General features: G+C 42.5%; 1 protein-coding gene across 12 annotated transcripts in view, besides 1 other annotated feature; it reads right to left on the reverse strand.

Moving 5' to 3' along the window:
- The window catches only part of TIAM1 (TIAM Rac1 associated GEF 1), a 440670-nt gene that overhangs the window by 61276 nt on the left and 359216 nt on the right, over nt 1-20178 (reverse strand). For all 12 annotated transcript variants that reach the window (NM_001353690.1, NM_003253.3, NM_001353688.1 and 9 more), the window contains 3 exons: nt 15531-15612; nt 7308-7394; nt 2728-2952 (listed from right to left, as the gene is read on the reverse strand). In NM_001353690.1, the coding sequence (NP_001340619.1) occupies nt 2728-2952; nt 7308-7394; nt 15531-15612 (394 nt within the window). The remainder of the gene's footprint in view (nt 1-2727; nt 2953-7307; nt 7395-15530; nt 15613-20178) is intronic.
- Nucleotides 2811-3310: an enhancer, noted in NCBI's record as "H3K4me1 hESC enhancer chr21:32554821-32555320 (GRCh37/hg19 assembly coordinates)". NCBI's record gives its function as "activates a minimal SCP1, AML or CMV promoter by ChIP-STARR-seq in naive H9 embryonic stem cells {active_cell/tissue: H9 hESC(naive)}" and the evidence as "EXISTENCE:reporter gene assay evidence [ECO:0000049][PMID:30033119]".

Consider the following 20178-nt stretch of genomic DNA (forward strand, 5'->3'; position numbering starts at 1 on the left):
TTTAGTTTAAAACTCCACCACACAAAAGACCAGACAGCAACTGTATACACAGAAATACTCAGATATTTCTAAAATAGATATATATAAAATGCATTTTAAAAATCTTTTAAATGCATTTCAAGATTTATTCAATGCATTTTAAACTCTATTAAATGTATTTTAATAGATTTTTAAGCAAACACACGTACACGTACATATACATACACAGATTTTTTTTTTTTTTTTTTTTTGAGACGGAATCTTGCTCTGTCGCCCAGGCTGAAGTGCAGTGGTGCAATCTCAGCTCACTGCAACCTCTGCCTCCCGGGTTCAAGCGATTCTTTTGCCTCAGCCTCCCGAGTAGCTGGGATTACAGGCGCCTGCCACCACGGATGGCTAATTTTTGTATTTTTAACAGAGGTGGTGTTTCACCATGTTGGCCAGGCTGGTCTCAAATTCCTGACCTCAGGTGATCCGCCTGCCTTGGCCTCCCAAAGTGCTGGGATTACAGGTGTGAGCCACTGCGCCCGGTAGACTTTTTTTAAAAAAGAAGAAAGAAATAGACGAAAACATTAACCGTGTCTATCCTTAAAAAAACAAATTGTGAGCAATCTCAGTCATACTTTACATCAGGGACAGCGAATTTGATGTGTAAAGGGCCATAGAGTAAACACTTTTGGCTTTGTAGACCCTAAGTCCTTGTCACAACGACTCAACTCTGCCATTACAGAAGGAAAACAGCCAGAGACAAGGTGTAAATGAATGGCATGACTGTGTTCCAATAAAACTTTATTTACAAAAACAGGTGGTGGGCTGCTTTTAGCCTATGGATTATAGTTTACCCACCTCTTTTTTTTTTTATATCTGTAACCCAGAAGAAGGGCTCAGACAGAAGAAAAAAATCCAAAGAAAGTTGAGTACACACTGTTGCTTATAGCACATATGTGCAAGCTTATAAAATCCTTTAAATAATCTAATCTAACATAATATGTCTCATTCAAAGTCATATTCCAGAAACAACTCTATCTGTGAACCGTTTTATGGGATCGATCCTGCCATCTTGTGGTCACATGAAATAACAGCCTTTATAGTCTTCATTCTCCTTTACTAAGGGTACACAACTCACTGGAGCCACTTTTCAAAAATTTGATTGGGATGTGGGGACCACAATAACATAATGAGTCAAGGAAGTCAACTGTAACTGAGAGCAATCAATTTTCTGAAGCTTCAACTTGTCAAAATCTTCCAAGGAGCCAATGGACAAAAGAATGAGGGGTCCAACTTCCTTAGCAAGCCAAGCTTCAGAAAATGATTTGAAAAACAACAATAGCAGGGCAAGAATATCCAACTACCCAAGAGCCTTCCATTTCAGATTTTGAACAGAACGCTCCTTTTGTATCCCAAGCTTTGAAAAGAGAAAATAATGACAAAACCCCAACTTACTAAATCAACCCAAACCCGAGAACCCGGTCATGGAGAAATAAATGATAGTAATCTATGCTGTTCATCTGTTCCATCACTCACTCACTCTCTTGCTGAACAAGAAAGGGCCACCCATGTAGCAAACCACATGTAAAGAGCCGGGAAGACAAAAATGAGGAATATAAACCCAGTCTCAGGAAACACATTTAGGCGAAAAGAGAGACACAAGCAAGTAAGAATCGCATGATCTAATGAGGGCCCATATGGAAGTCAAATTTGCAGGGTTGTGGGGGCCCAGAGGAGAGAGCTAACTCTATGGGGTCCCAGGAAGACTTCGAAAGGCAGGTGGCACTCACGCTGCTTCTAGTAGAATGAGCACAGGTTGCCAGAAGGAGCGGGGAGAGGAAGGAAGGGCAGGGCAGGGGGGTCACTGAAGCGCTCGGGTTCAGTCTTCAGGTTGAAAAAGTCCAAAAGACAAACAGAGCTCTGCACACATTTCCACTCTGGGCCTCTCAGCATCTCAGCTCACGTCCTTCTCTCAGACAGCAGGAAAGCAGGGCTGAGTGGTGGTTTGGAAGATGACGATAGAGAAGGCAGGAACAGAGGTAGGACTTAGTCTCAGCATCTTATGTGATTCCCAGCACTTCTTCTTCTTCTTCTTCTTTTTTTTTTTTTTTTTTTTTTTTTTTTTTTTTTTTTTTTTTTTTTTTTACGAGACAGGCCTCTGTCTCCCAGGCTGGAATGCAGCAGTGCAATCACAGCTTACTGCAGCCTCAAACTCCTGGGCCCAAGCGATCCTCCTGACTCAGCCTCCCAAGTAGCTGGAACTACAGATGCTCTCCACTATGCCCAGCTCATTTTTTTTTTTTTGGAGAGATAGAGTCTCGTTATGTTGCCCAGGCTGGTCTCAAACTCCTGACCTCAAGGTATCCTCCTGCTTCCACCTCCCAAGTGCTGGGATTACAGGTGCGAGCCACCACACGTGGCCCAATTCCCAACACTTCTGTGCCTCTGTATCTCTATCCACAGCAAAGTCTTCTAAATATTCACCTTTCCCCAAAATGAGAAACAGCAGAAGCATTATAAAGCTGCCCATGGGTGACAGGTGGATCTGTAGCAAAACAGCTCTATGAGAAAATAAAGTTCCCTGCGCCTTTGAAATTTCAACAGGAAATGCAGGGCCAGTCATCAGCCCATCTTGCACACACATTTTATACCACCTGCCAGACAGAGGCACTCACTGAAACACACAAGCCGCATGATAAACTCCCCGGGTCGTGGCACAACGGAGTTCAGACTCGCCCCCAGCACCCTGCACAGCCATACCTGGGTTGCTGGTGAGAAAGGCGAGGGGGCTCTCGCCAAGGTCGGCAGGGCCGTCCACTCGGTGGGGCGGGCTTTCCAGCAGCTCCACTCCTTCCTCCAGCTCGGGGTAGGTCCTCACCAGGAGGCCCAGCGAGGGCTGTGAGAGGAAATCTTTGAGCATAGAAGAGTTCAGGGCGTCAGCAGCACGATTATTGATCTCAAGAATCTCATCTCCTGCTTTCAGGCCTGCCAACGCAAGATGGAAAATTTTTAATTTCACACACATTATCAGAACACAACAGCTTAGGAGCTCTGCTATAAAGGGCACACCTGCTGTGGGTCTCACAGCCCCAGGTGCTGCTGCAGACAGGCTGCGGTGCTCGGGAGTGATCCTCAGGAGAGGACAGGGGCCTCAGGTTCTGAAGGTTCTAGATTTGCAGGTTACAACATGCCTAGCTGGTCCTTCATACATCAAGCAAACAAACTTACTCCTTCATTAATTTGTGTGTTCCAAGCATCTGCAAATTTCTCACAAATGCTAATTAATTCCGGTTATCTTCCTACACTTTTGGGGCGGGGCGAGCGGGGAATGGCAGTGCTCTCTGATGACTGCCATCACTGTGTTTTGTACATGTTCATGCCTCAGTGCACACTTAAGTCACAGCCAGCTAATATCTATTGATTATTTCCAAGGAACCAAAATGCAGGGCGTTCACTCTGGCTATGAGGACAGAAGTAAGAATGTCTCATTCCAAATACACTTAGAGATGACAGTTTCAAGAACCCAATGCAATCATTTTGTCCTTTTTTGTTTTGTTTTCAAACTACATCTGAACCTTGGGATGAATCTCTTTTGGTAGATCCCCAAAGGATCTGCTAGGGGAATTGCCAAAATTTGGGACCCAAGGGAACGACCATGAACAAGCCCAACCTAGAAGAACAGCAAGTTGAGACACCAAGGTGCAGTTCAAACTCGCACTGGAAGAACATTCCAGCAGCCTGAGAAATGGAGAGGGTGGGAAGAACATGAAAGAAAATAAAATAATCCTTTCAGCTAGGGAGAGAAAAGGAGCCCAATTTCTAATTTTATACACCAATATGGAAAAACCAACTTGAAAAAGGGAGTGAGCGAAGGGCAGGCAAAGATAAATTGCAGGAACGAGAAGCCTCCCAGGCCCTCGGGCATCCCACTCAGATTCTGCAGAAAATGACCCTACAAAGAAGTTCTCGCTTCCCAGCTTCACAGAGTCACATGCCCTGGACATCCTTATTCAGGTTTCTAAAATATCTGAAATCATTTTTTTTTTTTTTTTGAGACGGAGTCTCACTCTGTTGCCCAGGCTGAAGTGCAGTGGTGCGATCTTGGCTCACTGCAACCTCTGCCTCCCAGGTTCAAGCGATTCTCCTGCCTCAGCCTCCCAAGTAGCTGGGATTACAGGCACTCACCACCACGCCCAGCTATTTTTTGTATTTTCAGTAGGGACGGGGTTTCACCATGTTGGCCAGGCTGGTCTGCTGACCTCAGGTGATCCAAATTTTTTAAAATTTTTATTTATTTATTTTTTCTGAGACGAAGTCTCACTCTGTTGCCCAGGCTGGAGTGCAGTGGCACGATCTTGGCTCACTGCAACATCTGTCTCCCGGGTTCTCCCATTCTTCTGAGTAGGTGGGACTACAGTCATGTGCTACCATGTCTGGCTAATTTTTGTTTTGTTTTGTTTTTGAGACGGGGTTTTGCTCTTGTTGTCCAGGCTTGAGTTCAATGGCGCGATCTCAGTTCACTGCAACCTCTGCCTCCCCGGTTCGAGTGATTCTCCTGCCTCAGCCTCCCATGTAGCTAGGATTATAGGTGCGCACCACCATGCCCAGCTAATTTTTGTATTTTTAGTAGAGACAGGGTTTCACCATGTTAGCCAGGCTGGTCTGGAACTCCTCACCTCAGGTGATCCGCCCACCTTGGCCTCCCAAAGTGCTGGGATTACAGGTGTGAGCCACCGTGCCCGGCCAATTCACAGCTAAATTTAACATAAAATACCCCCAATATCTTTCTAGACACGCCAGGTGTTGGGATCGTGTTTGTGGACCAGGAGGACAGAATGGACATCACTCTTGCATCTGTTGAGAACAGAGCAAGGGGGTTAGTACAGATGACCGTTCATCTTCATTTAACACCAGGGCTCTCAGATTCAAAGACCTAAAACAGGATGTGACTGAAACCAGAGCAGTAGATTCCCCACCCCCGTGCCACGCAAACCGGCACACTCGTTGTGATGAAAGAGATAAAAATCAGTCTTTGGGCTTGAAGGGGAAGAAATCCTGTCATCTCTGCTCTTAGCTGAGATACAGCTCAGTGACTGGGTCAAACTCTGGCCCCAGGCTGCCTATGGCCTAGAAAGTATAGAAGGAACAAGAAGGAAAATGCTCCTCTGTGACAGTCAGCAGCAGATAAATTATCCTGACTTTATTTCTCACTCGTCACACCTTTGCCTTTCCATGCATAGCCAAGTCCGCGGTTGTGCTTTTCCAGTGTTTACAGGACAGGTCAATATAACCTGCACAGGTAGCTTTGCAAGCCATGAACTACCCAGAACTCAGCTGAACCAGGACAAAAAAGGCAGTGGCGAAGATCAGCACTCAATTTCCCTTCTCTGCTCCATTCAGCAGTAGTTAACACAACAGATGCAAGGTAAGTACATCTAAGCACAGTTGATCTGGATGTGTTGATCTCTGACGTTCAATACATATTATTTTGCCACTTCTTGGATGAAACTACAAATCCCATAGCAAGAAGAAAGAAACAAAGGTGGATTTCCAGCCCTACCTACCTGTCCCATTTATTTACAGCGAGTATAGTGGGTCGAATAGAGTCCCTGTCCACCTAGAATGTCAGAATGCAACCTTCTTTGGAAATAGGGATAGATATATATCACAGATGAAATTGTAATAATATAATCATTGTAATTATATAATAATTGCACATCATAATTATATATAATTATGCTATATAATTATATATAATTATGTTATATAATTATATATAATTATATTAACGATTATTATATAATGTATTAATATATTCTATATTTATATATTATATGCTTATATATTTATATATAATATGCTAATATAATATATTATGCCATTATATATTATATATTAATATAATATATTATATATTAATATAATATATTATATATCATATAGCTATATATTATATTAATATATTATATATCATTATATGATAATTATATTATAATAATTACAATATCATCATTATAATTATATAATAATTACACATAATTATATACTATTACACACGAAAGTTACAATGAACTCACAATGATTTAGTGTAGGTCCTAAATCCAATGACTGGTGTTCTTATAAGAAAGCCATGTTAATGACACAGAGACACACACAGGGCAGAAGCCATGTGACTTCAGGCAGAGATTGGAGTGATACAGCCATAAGCCACAGAATGCCAAGTGCTGCTTTCACACCAGAAACCAGAAGGAGGCATGAAGCCATTCTTCCCTCAGAGGCTTCAGAGAAATCAATCTTGCCAATACCTTAATTTCAGACTTCTGGCCTCCTAAACGGCGAGAGGATAAATTTCTGTTATTTTAAGCCACCCAGTGTGTAACAGTTTATTACAGTAGCTCTAAGAAATTAGCACTGTGAGCAAATCATCTAGGTTGCAAAGACTTTCCAGGGGTAGAAAAAGGATGAAGAGTTGGGGTTCCCCAAGTAGCCCAAATGCATTATAGGCCATTTAAGGGCTAAAATGAAACAGGCAGGATGTAGCGGGGAAGCGCTCTCTAAAGAAGGGGAGGGAGGCTGGATCTCAAATCCCTAGGTTCTCAACTTTCGCAGATTCTTCTATGAACGGAAGCAACAGAACAACTGGTTTGAAAGAGCTCTGCAGGCTCAGGCAATAGCCAATGTCAGCTTTGACCAGTGTGGACCAAAGTACAGAGGGGTCTTCCCCCATGCTCTGCTCCAGGAAGAACCCCCCCAGGATCCCCACACCATCCTAGAAGATGGAGAAGGACGACCACATGATTAGAATGGAATTTCCCACCAGCCCCAGGGTAATGGGCTCAATCAGTTTAAAATCCAAAAATGAGTGACTTGAGAGGCTGAGACAGGAGGATCGCTTGAGCCCAGGAGCTCAAGAACAGCCGGGGCAACACAGCAAGACCCCTGACTCTGAAAAATAAATAAGTAAATAAATTAGTCAGGTGTGGTGGCATGCACCTGTACTCCCCTAGCGACCTGGGGGGCTGAGGTGAGAGGGTGGCTTGAGCCCAGGATTTCGATGCTACAGTGACCTATGATTGCGCCACTGGACTCCAGCCTGGGTGATAGAGCAAGACCTTGTCTCTAAAAATTAAAAAAAGAAAAAAAAAGTTCAAGAATATGACCTTTCTGGTACACTTAAGTTAATGGAATAAAATGCATATTCCCTGGAAGGGTTTTCAATGAGAAAATGTTCAAATACTTTCCACAAATGAATCCTTTGGGCATATCTTTCTCCTTCAAAAACTAGAGAAGCCCCAAAGGGCATTTAAGACAGACAGACCAGCCCTCCTTCACTGACTTACCTTTCTTGGAAGCTAAACCGGTTTCCTTCACACTATTCACGTACAGCCTTCGAATACCATCTTCTTCCACAGAAGAAAGTGAAAACCCTGTGAAACACAAAAAGACAGAATGGCAGGGCTCACACCTTCTGAATGTTTAGCAAACAACAGGAAGTGCCTGCTGTGAACTAGGTATGTTTCATGTTTGTCATTATAGTTTGGACTGATTGTTTTTTCTTGTTTTACATAGCAGAAAAGTGTATTTTTAGATCACTCTGGAAGTCACTACTTGTAAAAATAAAGATTACTATGTACGTCTATCTTCATATTACCTACCAATCAACTCAAAGGAAAGCAAATTATTTTGTTTAATCTTGCTTCCTGGTAAACGCCATCATTTTTTCTTTTCCATACTCTCCTCCAAAGCAGAAAACAGAAAGATTAGCTTACCTCAAAGTCCCCAGACGTTTTTCATCAAATCTATGTCCTAGAATATGTTAACAACTGTACTGTTGGAGGGTGTGTGTTCATCCATATGTATGACTATATGGACACTGCTTTAATACAATTCTGCAAACAGGAGCAAGATGCAACTCACATTACGAATCTGTAATGTGAATTACACATTACAGAAACTGTACCTGATTTCACACTCTAGCAGTATCTGATCATAAGATTATCTTATACTTCTCTGGGCTCCCAGAGCTCAAAGCCAACTTGCTAATTAACCCTGGGCTCTGCTACATACTTCAGAGAGGAAAGCAGAGTGAGGCCGAGGTATTCTACGTGGCTTGAGGATCCTAGGTACTCAAAACTCTATGGTTACAAGTCCTGGTCACTCCTGTTTCCAGACCGCCTCATGTAAAACTCTTTCCTAATCAATTACTTTGAATGTCCACAGTGAATACCTACTTTGCTAAGGGAAAGAAATACCTTTGCAGATATTTCTAAAAAGGGCAAGGGGAACACATGTCATTGTATATATCTGCAATAATTTCAGCTCTGGGAAAAAAATCATCCCATAATATAGATACCCATCGTAATGCTGAGGGGAGAGCAGTGGTTGAAAAAAAAACAAGCAGGCAAATAGCAAAACAGAATTTTGTAAGATTGGGTTCCAGGGAGTCATTGAGCCTTTTTAGGCCATGTCATGATGAACACATGGTTTTTTGTTTAGTTTACAGGACCAGGAAATGGATAACCTCACATAGGCAAAAAGGCTAATTGCCATCGCCCTCTCAAGTACCGTAACACCCTCAGATAGGGAACAGCAGAGGGCCACCCGTGAGGACTTTCCAAAGTCTTCATTTCATTCTCTTATTTTAAATTCTCTTCTTTCAGCAACTTCTAACTTTCAGATTAAGTGTCAAGAAGCCCTGCTGAAATCAAAATATTTTTACACAAGAACCATTTAAGTTACATTAGCCTTAACACAGGTGTATTTATCTGCATTTTAGTGGAAATTAAAAAAAAATCTATTAGGCGAGATAGAATCAAGGGCTACGTCATAGGAAAGAATGAATAGGATTCATCTAACTATTGGAATTTCCTTTTTGAAATGCCATCATTCTACTACATTCTGAGACCAATTTTTTTGTTTGTTTGTTATTAAAGAGACAGGGTCTTGCTCTGTCCCCCAGGCTGGAATGCAGTGGTGTGATCATAGCTCATTGTAGCTTCAAACTCCTGGATTCAGACAATTCCCTACCTCATCTACCAGAAGACCTGGGACTACATGTGAGTGCTACCATGCTTGACTGATTTTTTAATTTTTTTTAGAGATGGGGTCTTACTATGTTGCCCAGGCTGGTCTCAAACTCCTGGCCTCATGCGATCCTCCCACCTCAGCCTCTCACAGTGTTGGGATTACAGGCTTTCACTACTGAGCCTGGCCCCAGTTTTTTTTCTATTAAAAAATTAGCACCCCTGTGGGGTACCAGGAAACACCTTTGCTTAACTGGAAGATGGCAGGAGAGGCAACATGGTGACAGCCTGCTGCAAGTCACCTGAAGCCAATTAGATGGAGACATGGAGACACCTCAGGTATGATTTGCTCCATTCCCTCTTTTTTTTTTTTTTTTTTTTTTTTTTTTGAGATGGAGTCTCATTCTGTTGTCTAGGCTGGAGTGGAGTGGTGCGATCTCAGCTCACTACAACCTCTGCCTCCCAGGTTAAAGCGATTCTCCTACCTCAGCCTCCCTAGTAGCTGGGATTACAGGCACACACCACCACACTCAGCTAATTTTTCTAATTTTGGTAGAGATGGGGTTCCGTCATGCTGGCCAGACTGGTCTCAAACTCCTGACTTCAAGTGATCCACCTGCCTCGGCTTCCCAAAGTGCTGGGATTACAGGTGTGAGCCATCACACCCAGCCATTCCCTCTTTTCTTGGTCCTCTTTTTGTATAATCAAAAGGTTAAATAGAGGAGACTTCCAGTCTGAGGACTGCAATTGATTATGTAATTTGTACCAGACAACTGGGTAAAAAGACTAGGTCTGAGAAACAGATCAGACATCTCTAATTAGTGGGGAAATCTCTATGATAGGAAAGAGGATGGAAGAAACGATAATGGGCATAAGTTCCTTCTTTGAAGATCACCCAAATGAAAGCCAAAAATTTACAAAAGTGAATAGCACATTAGCTCTGTACTGGAATTCATATTGGACACCAGTTTAGGGGTCAAACAGGAGCCCCTTTCACTGTTCCAGGTAGGCAGCCCTCCCCACACCTTGCCTTGCAACAAACATGTGAGCGGCTTCCATTTAAAGATGCCAATACTTTGCACACTGGGGGAAAACCTTATAACCATCTTCTACATGAACAAATATAAAGAAAATTATGAAATATCCTACAGCTGGATTATGTGGAACTGAATGAAGAACATAATGATTTTAACAGTTAATCAGCAAAGTCAGATCTATTTCTTTTAAATAGGACAGCAATGTTCTAACTCTCAGCAGACAACTCTAATATCGTCCAAAATGATTGCCAACAGGGGGCAGAGGGAAATTATTCAATATAAACCTATGTATCCACCAACTGGAAGGCTGTTAGCTTCAAATACAGGAAGGGATCATGAGTGGCAACTGGAATAATGATCAGGAGAACGAAGGAAGTGCTTAAAATTAAGTGATGAAACTAAGGTCGGGCGTGGTGGCTCATGCCTATAATCCCAGCACTCTTGGAAGGCTGAGGCGGGAGGAAAGCATGAGCCCAGGAGTTTGAGACCAGCCCTGGCAACACAGTGAGACCCTGTCTCTACAAAATTTTTTTTAAAAAATTAGCTGGGCATGGTGGCACGTGCCTTGTAGTCCCAGCTACTTGGGAGGCTGAGGTGGGAAGGATGGCTTGAGTCTAGGAGGTTGAGGCTGCAGGGAGTCATGATCCCACCACTGCATTCCAGCCTGGGCGACAGAGTAAGACCCTGTCTCAAAAAAGAAACTAAGAACAAACTCATGAGATGAACCACCAAAAGATTCCTCAACCTAGAAAAACCATAACATGATAAACAATAGAGAATTACTCAAAACTAGAGTCCAGGATACAATGAAAATTCAGATAACAAGCACAGGCACCTATAACATGAGGAGAACACACGACTAAAAAATATAATAGTACTAGAAGTACCCAGAGAAAAGGAACATTAAGTTGCTGAAATGACGCATCCTTCTACTTCAAGGCAGCCGAGGGTCTCATGCTTAGTCTAAGTATCATGTAACTGGATATGTGAACTAATTTCAACAGTAAAGTGTGGGAGTGAGCTGAGGGCTGAGATGGAGAGAGAGGCAAGAGAGAGAAATTAAGTAAATGTTCCCGCTTTAAGTGTGTTCAGTCAGTTGGATTATTAAATTATATTCTCCTCCCTAAAGTGTTCTAAAATAGAAAGCAGCATATGATCTGTATTGTGAGGTGTTTCTGTGTTTGTGCCGGCAGCTTTTACTTGTACTGAACTCAGTATCTAACCAGAAGCCACTTAGCTAGGTGTTAATATTAGATACAGATGGGCTGAATTTCGACTCTGCGGTAGCTTTTAATCCAGAGGCAATCAGATCTCTGAGGACTGGGGGAATGTTTCACCTCTTCAATCAATACGCTGCTGGAACATCAAATGCCAAAACCAACCCGAGCACGGAGAAGAAATGATTTAACTGAGCTTATTAGCCATGAGTGGCAGGCTTTTCTTTTCTTTTTTTTTTCTTTGAGACAGAGTCTCACTCTGTCACCAGGCGGGAGTGCAGTGGCACAATCTCAGCTCACTGCAACCTCTGCCTCCCAGGTTCAAGTGATTCTCCTGCCTCCCGAGTACCTGGGACTACAGGTGTGTGTCACCAAGCCCGTCTAATTTTTTTATCTTTAGTAGAGATGGGGTTTCACCATGTTGGCCAGGATGGTCTCAATCTCTTGACCTCATGATCTGCCCACCTCGGCCTCCCAAAATGCTGGGATTACAGGTGTGACCCTCTGTGTCCAGCCTGTGGCAGGGCTTTTCAAAGTGAAGTCAGGGAACAGGTGCCAACTGTTTGCTAATGGCAGTAATGTCAGGACAGAAATCAAGACTAAGCATTGAGAACCTCTTGTAGCTTTGACATTGCCACAACCTCCAAGCATGGGATTTTGTATTTCACAAAAGCAGCAGTGGTCACAAAAGAGTGGAAATTAAAACAAAACAAAATACCTGCTTCTTTACATCGGATGAGTTGGGAAGCACTGTTTGTAACACTCTCAAGACTGACGCCTGGTGCCCTGTCATACCCTCCTCAGGGGGTAAAAGTAAATGGGTTCTGTGAGTAATTCAGTGACTTTAACAAAAAGTATTAAAATGTATACAAACGGTAGCAGTTTCATGCCCAGTTCCAATTTCTGAGTCCCTGAATCACTCAATCTTAGAAGCAGAGTCCAAGAGCTTTGAAATTCAGCCTTCTGAACTTGATCTTTGCTAGTTTATCCTTACTCAACAAAAATTAAGTAAACTGAAGAGAAAAAGAATAATCATTATGGAGCATCTAATTTTGGAGGATCCAGGCACTTCACTGCTACCAATTACAGCTCTAATTACTGAGGTCGGCTTTTTGCTGCATAATAAGCCGCTCATAAACATTTATTCCTTGCCATGAGAAACATTCTCCTGGCTTTATTATGTCTTTAGTTTTAAGGTCAAGAAATAAACAGCATAAAGTTATAACGCAAGTGGCCAGGGTTCAAAACTGGATTCTCTTCATTAGGCCCAAATCCTCTATTGAGTATTCCGAGATGAAGACTGGTGGCCTACAGGGGAAGGTGCAGAAGGAATGTAATATCCCAGTGCTCAGAAAAGAGTTTTAAAGATTTTCAAATGCTAAAAAGCTTAATAACCTGGGCCAGGCACAGTGGCTCATGCCTGTAATCCCAGCACTTTGGGAGGCCGAGGTGGGTGGATCAGTTGAGGTCAGGAGTTCAAGACCACCCTGGCCAACACGGTGAAACCCGTCTCTTCTAAAAGTACAAAAATTAGCCAGGCATGGTGGCACACGCCTGTAATCCCAGCTACTTGGGAAGCAGGAGAATCACTTGAACCTGGGAGGCAGAGGTTGGAGTGAGCTGAGATCGCGCCACTGCACTTCAGCCTGGGCGACAGAGGGAAACTGTGTCTTAAAAAAAAAAAAGACAGCTTAATAACTTGATTCAGAGAGAAATCTTAAGCGAGCATATGAGGTAGTCTTTATGTCTTTCCACCGGGAACTTTGTTCTCCTTCTACCAAACAGTAGAATCACACTTCAGTGCTCCCTCGTAGGTAGGTATGGCTGTGTGACTTGCTTTGGCCAATGAATTGGGAGTGGGACAACACCTGCTTTCCCATCTCCCCTTCCCCCTCTGCAGAGTGACAAGCACTGTCCCAGGTGGCAGCTGCTCCAGACCTGGGTGTGGAATGAGGACAACGTATGGAGTCCCAGCCAACCCACAAGGGACGCGTGGTGAATGTGAGAAATAAATGTCACTGTTTCGAGCCACCGGGCTTTGGTGGCTGTCTGTTACCTCAGCTAACCTCGCCACTCCTGACTGATACAGCACAGCATGGATTTTCCTCACTTAATTTACTCAGGCACCAACTCTGTTACTATTCAAGCCATACAGTGTAATGCTAAGTAAAGAAGACTGGTCTTAAACATATGGAAAGGAATATATATTTAACTCCGCCAGAATGTAGACAACCGCATAGGAAAGCGTTAACACAGCAGGCATGACTGCTATTCTTCGAAAGGCCCGCTTACAAATTTGAACCTTGGCTGGTATCCTGAGAACTTGGATTTTGGGAGGGTTCCCAACACCCTGAGTGGCTCACAGTGCCTAAACTGTGGTACAAACAATGGGATTTATGGTGAACGCCTACTTTCCTCCTGGGAGTCTGGAATTTTGGTGCATGCTAGGCAGAGGGTGCCTAGGGAACCAGCCTCCCCAGAAAAGCCCTGGGCACTGACTCTCTAACCACCTTCCCTAGGAGAGAGCATTTCTCAGGTGTCCTCACAACTTGGTGCTGCAGGAGTTATCCTCATTCTACGTGACTCCACTGAAACAGGGCCCGCTGAAGCTCACACCTGGTTTCCCCTAGACTTCACTCCATGCGCCTTTTCCCTTTGCTGATTTTGCTTTGTGTTGATACAGGAGTTAAGATGAAATGATTTAGGCAGAGAGCGAGGAGAAGAAAATCCTCAGTAACATTTTCCTTTTAATGAAAAGCAACCCCCAAATAATTTTTTTTTGTAACAAAAAGCAGCCTGTAAAATCAAGCTGCACACACAGACAAGCAAGCTGGAAGCTTACACCGGTGAGTGCCGGCAGTGTGAATCGGGAAAAGCTAGCTGGGACTAAGCATGTTCAAAATGGCGGCTCCATCCTCTCTTCTCTTTGTCAGCCATGCGTACAGTAAGAAGCAGTGAACATGGCCCCCGCCAGGCAAAGACTCCATTTGCATAATAAAGATTAGGATAGGGCAGCCAGCTTCCATGCGTGCTGTGTAGACCTCACACCTGGTCCAAACAATCTGTGGGCCTTATGTAAATCAGACACCGCCTCCTCAAGCCTGGCTATACAAATCCAGTGCATTCCGCCGCTGGCCGGAAGACCCACTCGGGCACCCCTCTCTCTCTGCAGGAGAGAGAGCTATTCTCCTTTCTCTTTTTTTTTGCCTGTTAAACCTCTACTCCTAAACCCACTTCTTGTGTGTCCGCATCCTCGATTCCCTTGGCATGAGACAACGAACCGTGGGTATTTACCCAAGACAACGAAGCCGCTTCAGTATAATTTGCTATTAAAAAAATCATAGTTGTGAGTATGACCAGAGGCTGAGCTCTGTGGGTCTTCCTAGTGAATCAGCAAACCTAGGGATGGTCTTGGGGACCCCCCTACACACCACCAAAATAGTTCCTTTAACATTATTTGTATGGGAAGGGAGGATAATGTAGGATAATGGCTTACTTATTTTGAGATTTCTCAAAATTTATAGTTTTCGGGAGGGGGTGTAAAAGAATAATTCCTACATTACTAAGGTACATCATAGTATATGTTAAACAAAAATTATGGGAGGTCATTGTTGTGAACTGAGTTCCTGCATTATGCCCGAAAGGCCAGATCAAATAAAAATGGAATCACTCATGCTGGATGCCACATAATCAAACTAAAACTTTCAGGAAGCAAGTAGATCCCCAAACAGACCAGTTTTTCCTGAAAACATGAGATTCCGGTCTACCTGAGTCAACAAAATAAGTAGGTCCCCTCTGCTTTAACCCTTACAAAAAAGTAACCTGAAGTAAGCTAAGTTAAACAATCAGTTTTCTTCTTCCACTGTTCTGTTTCCTTGTCGCCAACTTACAAACATCACTGTTCTGCCACTGCCCAGAGGGAGCTCTCATTCTATTTTGTAGAATGGAGGCTATCCCATGCATGAATCACAAATAAAAGCCAGTCAGATTTATAACTAAACTTGTTGTAATTTTATCTTTTGACATATAAAATAAGCTACCCACTTCCTTTTTAGGACAGTAGAATCCCAGTAATTAAAGTTATGAAATTTAACACCAAAGTCTACATCGTACCCAGAGTAAATATCCCTGTTATTCCCTAGTGTGGCTGCCCTCCACAGAGCAGGAGCCAGATATACTATCTGTTTTAGATAGGACTCAAAGGCATTTTGTTGAACTGTAAATAAATGCATGCTTACATAAGAAATACTTTACCTTAAAACACAAACAAAGAAAAATAAACTTACCGTAAGTATCAGCAGCTGTATCTGACTTCTCAATGTGGATGCTCTGAGTGACTTTTGGACAGATTTCAATTTCTTTGTACAGCTGAAAGTTACAAAGGGGAATCTAATTAGAATTTCATTATAACTAACTTTTAAAAATGGTCATCATTTCATAAATCTATTTTTTCACAATTGATACTTACGTGAATTTGCACTTCACAATCTTATCATTAAACGAAACTCATTAAAAGTAAAAAGTAAAAGTAAAAACTTCCAGCTGTCGTCCTCAAACATAGCCACAGTTTGGTTTCTAAGTAATTCCTCCACATCACTCTGTCTGTCTATTCCTACCCAATGTCTATCACAGACCTGAAAAATAATGCTAAAGTAATGGAGATCTCTAGTTGTGGGGAGAAAAAGTTTATTAAAATCAAGAAGAGGTTATAAAGATCTTGGTATGGAATTCATGGAAATAAGATAAATCTCTATGCTTCCATTCAAAAAGTTCATCATAGTACAAATAAGTAGAGACAAATGATAGCATTGAAACAGAAAACAAATTACGTAAAGGAGGATATTCTTTTTTTTAGCCACTGAACTGTATCGAAATTAGCTAGAAAACTGAAGTACACAAATTAATCAGCCTTCTAAAAGCCCAAGAAAGGAAATAACTTATGACTAAGTCCTCAAAAGCAACTGCAACAAAAATGAAAATGGAAAAGTGGGACCTAATTAAACTAAAGAGCTTCTGCACAGAAAAAGAAACTGTCAATAAACAGACAATCTACAGTATGGGAGAAAATATTTCCAAACTGTGCATCTGACAAAGCTGTAATATCCAGAAACTATAAGGAACTTAAATCAGCAAAAAGTGAATAATCTCATCAAAAAATGGGCAAAAGACATGAACGGGCACTTCTCAAGATAAGACATATATGTGGCCAATAAATATATGAAAAAATGTACACATCGCTAATTATCAGAGAAATGTAAACCAAAACCACAATGAGATACCATCTCACACCAATCAGAATGGCTATTACTAAAAAGTCAAAAAACAACAAATGTTGGTGAGGCTGCAGAGAGAAGGGAATGCTTTTCTTTTCTTTTTTCTTTTTTTTTTTTTTCACACGGAGTGTTGCTCTGTTGCCCAGGCTGGAGTGCAGTGGCGCGATCTCGGCTCACTGCAGCCTCCATCTCCCAGGTTCAAGCAATTCTCCTGCCTCAGCCTCCTGAGTAGCTGGGATTACAGGCGTTTGCTACCACATCTGGCTAATTTTTTTTTTTTTTGTATTTTTAGTGGAGATGGGGTTTTGCCATGTTGGACAGGCTGGTCTCAAACTCTGACCTCAAATGATCCGCCCACCTCAGCCTCCCAAAGTGCAGGAATTACAGGCATGAGCCACCATGCCCGGCTGAGAAGGAAACACTTATACACTGTTGTTGGGAATGTAAATTAGTTCAGCCACTGTGGAAAGCAGTTTGGAGACTTCTCAAAGAACTTAGAACTACCGCTTGACGCAGCAATCCCATTACTTGGTATACATCCAAAAGAAAATAAATCATTCTACCAAAAAGACACGTGCACTGTATGTTCATTGCAGCACTATTCACAATAGCAAAGATGTGGAATCAATCTATATGCCCATCCAGGGTGGATTGGATAAAGAAAATGTGGTACATGTATACCACAGAATACTATGTAGCCATGAAAAAGAACAAAATCATGTTCTTTACAGCAACATGGATGCAGCTGGAAGCCATTATCCTACGTGAATTAACACAGGAACAGAAAACCAAATACCTTCTCACTTACAACTAGGGGCTAAACAATGAGTACTCATGGACATAAAAATGGCAACAATAGATACTGGGGACTACCAGAGGGGGAAGGCAGGAGGAGGACAAGGGTTGTGAGACTAACTGCTGGGCACTAGGCTTACTACCTAGGTGACAGGATCAACAGTACCCTAAACCTCAGCATCATGCGATATACTCAGGTAACAAACCTGCACATGTGCCCCTTGAATCTAAAATAAGAGTTAAAATTATTTAAAAAATTTTTTAAACAAAAAAGGCTGGAAAAAGAGCTTTGTACAAAGTCAAGATAAGAATGATGCAGAGTTCACACATCATAAATGTTGTTTAAATTAATCAATATTTCATTTTCTTTTTTCTTTTTTTTTTTTTTGAGACGGAGTCTCGCTCTGTCGCCCAGGCTGGAGTGCAGCGGTGTGATCTCGGCTCACTGCAAGTTCCGCCTCCCAGGTTCACGCCATTGTCCTGCCTCAGCCTACCGAGTAGCTGGGACTACAGGCGCCCGCCACCGCGCCCGGCTTTTTTTTTTTTTTTGTATTTTTAGTAGAGACAGGGTTTCACCATAGTCTCGATCTCCTGACCTCGTGATCCGCCCGCCTCAGCCTCCCAAAGTGCTGGGATTACAGGCGTGAGCCACCGCGCCCAGCCGGATATTTCGTTTTCTTATGTCAAGATCTATCATCAAGACAATAACTTACAGAGTTCTGACCATGTGTCACGCCTCTCACGCTAACTCCATGAGACAAGCGTGATGTCCATTTTACAAATAAAGGCAAGAGCCTAAAGAGAAAGTACTTTCCTAAATTCAGAAGACCAGTTCATACACAGCTGGGATTATGAACCCAGGTCTCACTGGCTCTAGAGCCGCATTCTTTCCACTACACTACGATGCCTCCCAGATCAGCCTTCACTGGAACACAGGGTATGAACGCAAAGGGAACCTACCCTCTTAGGTCAGTCAAAGGTTCAAATCCAAAATTTATAATAAAAACTCACAAACAAATAGATGTGTCAAATGCTCATATAGATTTTTAAAATTATTACTCTATCTTAAAATGAAAACCAATTTTGAGCCAAGGTCAATAACAAAAAACGTGGCCGTTAGCACTAAAGAGAAGTCTTGATGATTATCTAAACTTGCCCGTATCCCTGACCACACAGCCATTCGTCCAGAAACGATTTTATTCAGGCAGGTAGAAAAGAGTGGCCAGTTTCTTCTCTTTATTTGCTTGGGGCATTTGAAAGGTCAGCATAATACTTGTGACTCAGGAGCCTGAGAAAGCGTTTGCTATAATAGAATGCCAAGGAGTGTGGGGGATAGGAACGTGGACAGGACAGCTTGGATCCTTTTAAACACCTCAATTTAATGCAATTTCCACCAAATGCAACGTGTCAAGGGCATGACTGAATGTGGTTTCAGTGTTATACTTTAGAAATGTTTCATACTGATACATTTACAAATGAGAAGAAATCAGTTATACTACTTTTTCATTCAGAAAATAGCCACCAAAACTCTAAATACTAAATTCAATAAGGTTTACAATGTATAACCTAACACCACAAAATGCTCAAGGAAATGTTATCAACTACGTTCACTTCAACTTATCAGGAGCCTTACTTTTATTTTTTAAAACTTTAAGAGCCAAACCCTTCCTCCAGGTGGCAGTATATAACTGTTTGTTTTAATCATTTCCACAGGATCTAGTGGGACTAGAGCTTTGTGCATAATCTTTCCTATATTTTCATAATACTACTTCCTAGTTTTCTTTGAAATTAGTGTGAATATCACTGTGTCTTTTGCTGGTCTCAGACAACAACTCAGTATCATAAGACAGGCCCGCTGGCCACAACATCCTTAGGCTGGTTGGACTAAAGCCAGGTTTAGTGAACAAAACTAAAACTATATCTCAAGAAGCGTTTGTACTTTAAAATATATTTTCAATGCAACCACGATATCTGGAACTAGAAATCTGGAAATTCAGTAGTTTTATACATAAATGCACTTAATGATGAAATAGCTCACATCTTCCCTTTCTTTTATTAAATCAATAATGTTGCAACTTTCCCTGTTTTCAAAAACTGGATGAGAAGATCACCAGATTTTAAGAAAAAAATTGCTTACCTAGGGCTCTTGAGTTCTCACAAAATCAGGATCATTTCTTTCTCTGTCTCCTTTGGGTGGCTTGGTCTGAGCCACCGTCACGCTCTTGCCTGACGATGACTCTCTACAGCCTTCTATGGGCCCTGGCTGCTCATCTTCTCATGCCCTATGGGCCCACTCATCTGCCATAGTGAGCCTTTCAAAGCCGACAATGCCCTTTCTCTCTGGGGTTTCCTATGGCACTTAGGCTCTACATGGCCTATCCTTTTTCCCTCCCCCCCACCATCTCCTGCATCCCCTCTTTCGTGCCCTCTCCGCCAATCCTCCTCAAACACCAGGTAAGCCACCTCCACCATGGCCACCCTCCCCCTGCCCAGGCCTTAGCCAGCTTTGTTCTCTCAGCCTAGAACATTTTTTTTTTTTTTTTGAGACAGAATCTGGCTTTGCCACCCAGGCTGGAGTGCAGTGGCACGATATTGGCTCCCTGTAACCTCCGCCTCCCGGGTTCAAGCAATTCTCCTGCCTCAGCTTCCTGAATAGCTGGAACCATAGGCGTGTGCCACCATGCCTGGTTAATTTTTGTATTTTTAGTAGAGATGGAGTTTCAGCATGTTGGCCAAGCTGGTCTCGAACTCCTGACCTCAGGGGATCCACCTGCTCAGCCTCCCAAAGTGCTGGGATTACAGGCGTGAGCCACCATGCCTGGCCAGCCTAGAACACTTGTCTGCAAAATACCTCTATGATTCCACT

The sequence above is a fragment of the Homo sapiens genome, chromosome 21, assembly GCF_000001405.40.
Source record: "Homo sapiens chromosome 21, GRCh38.p14 Primary Assembly".
NCBI lineage: Eukaryota > Metazoa > Chordata > Mammalia > Primates > Hominidae > Homo > Homo sapiens.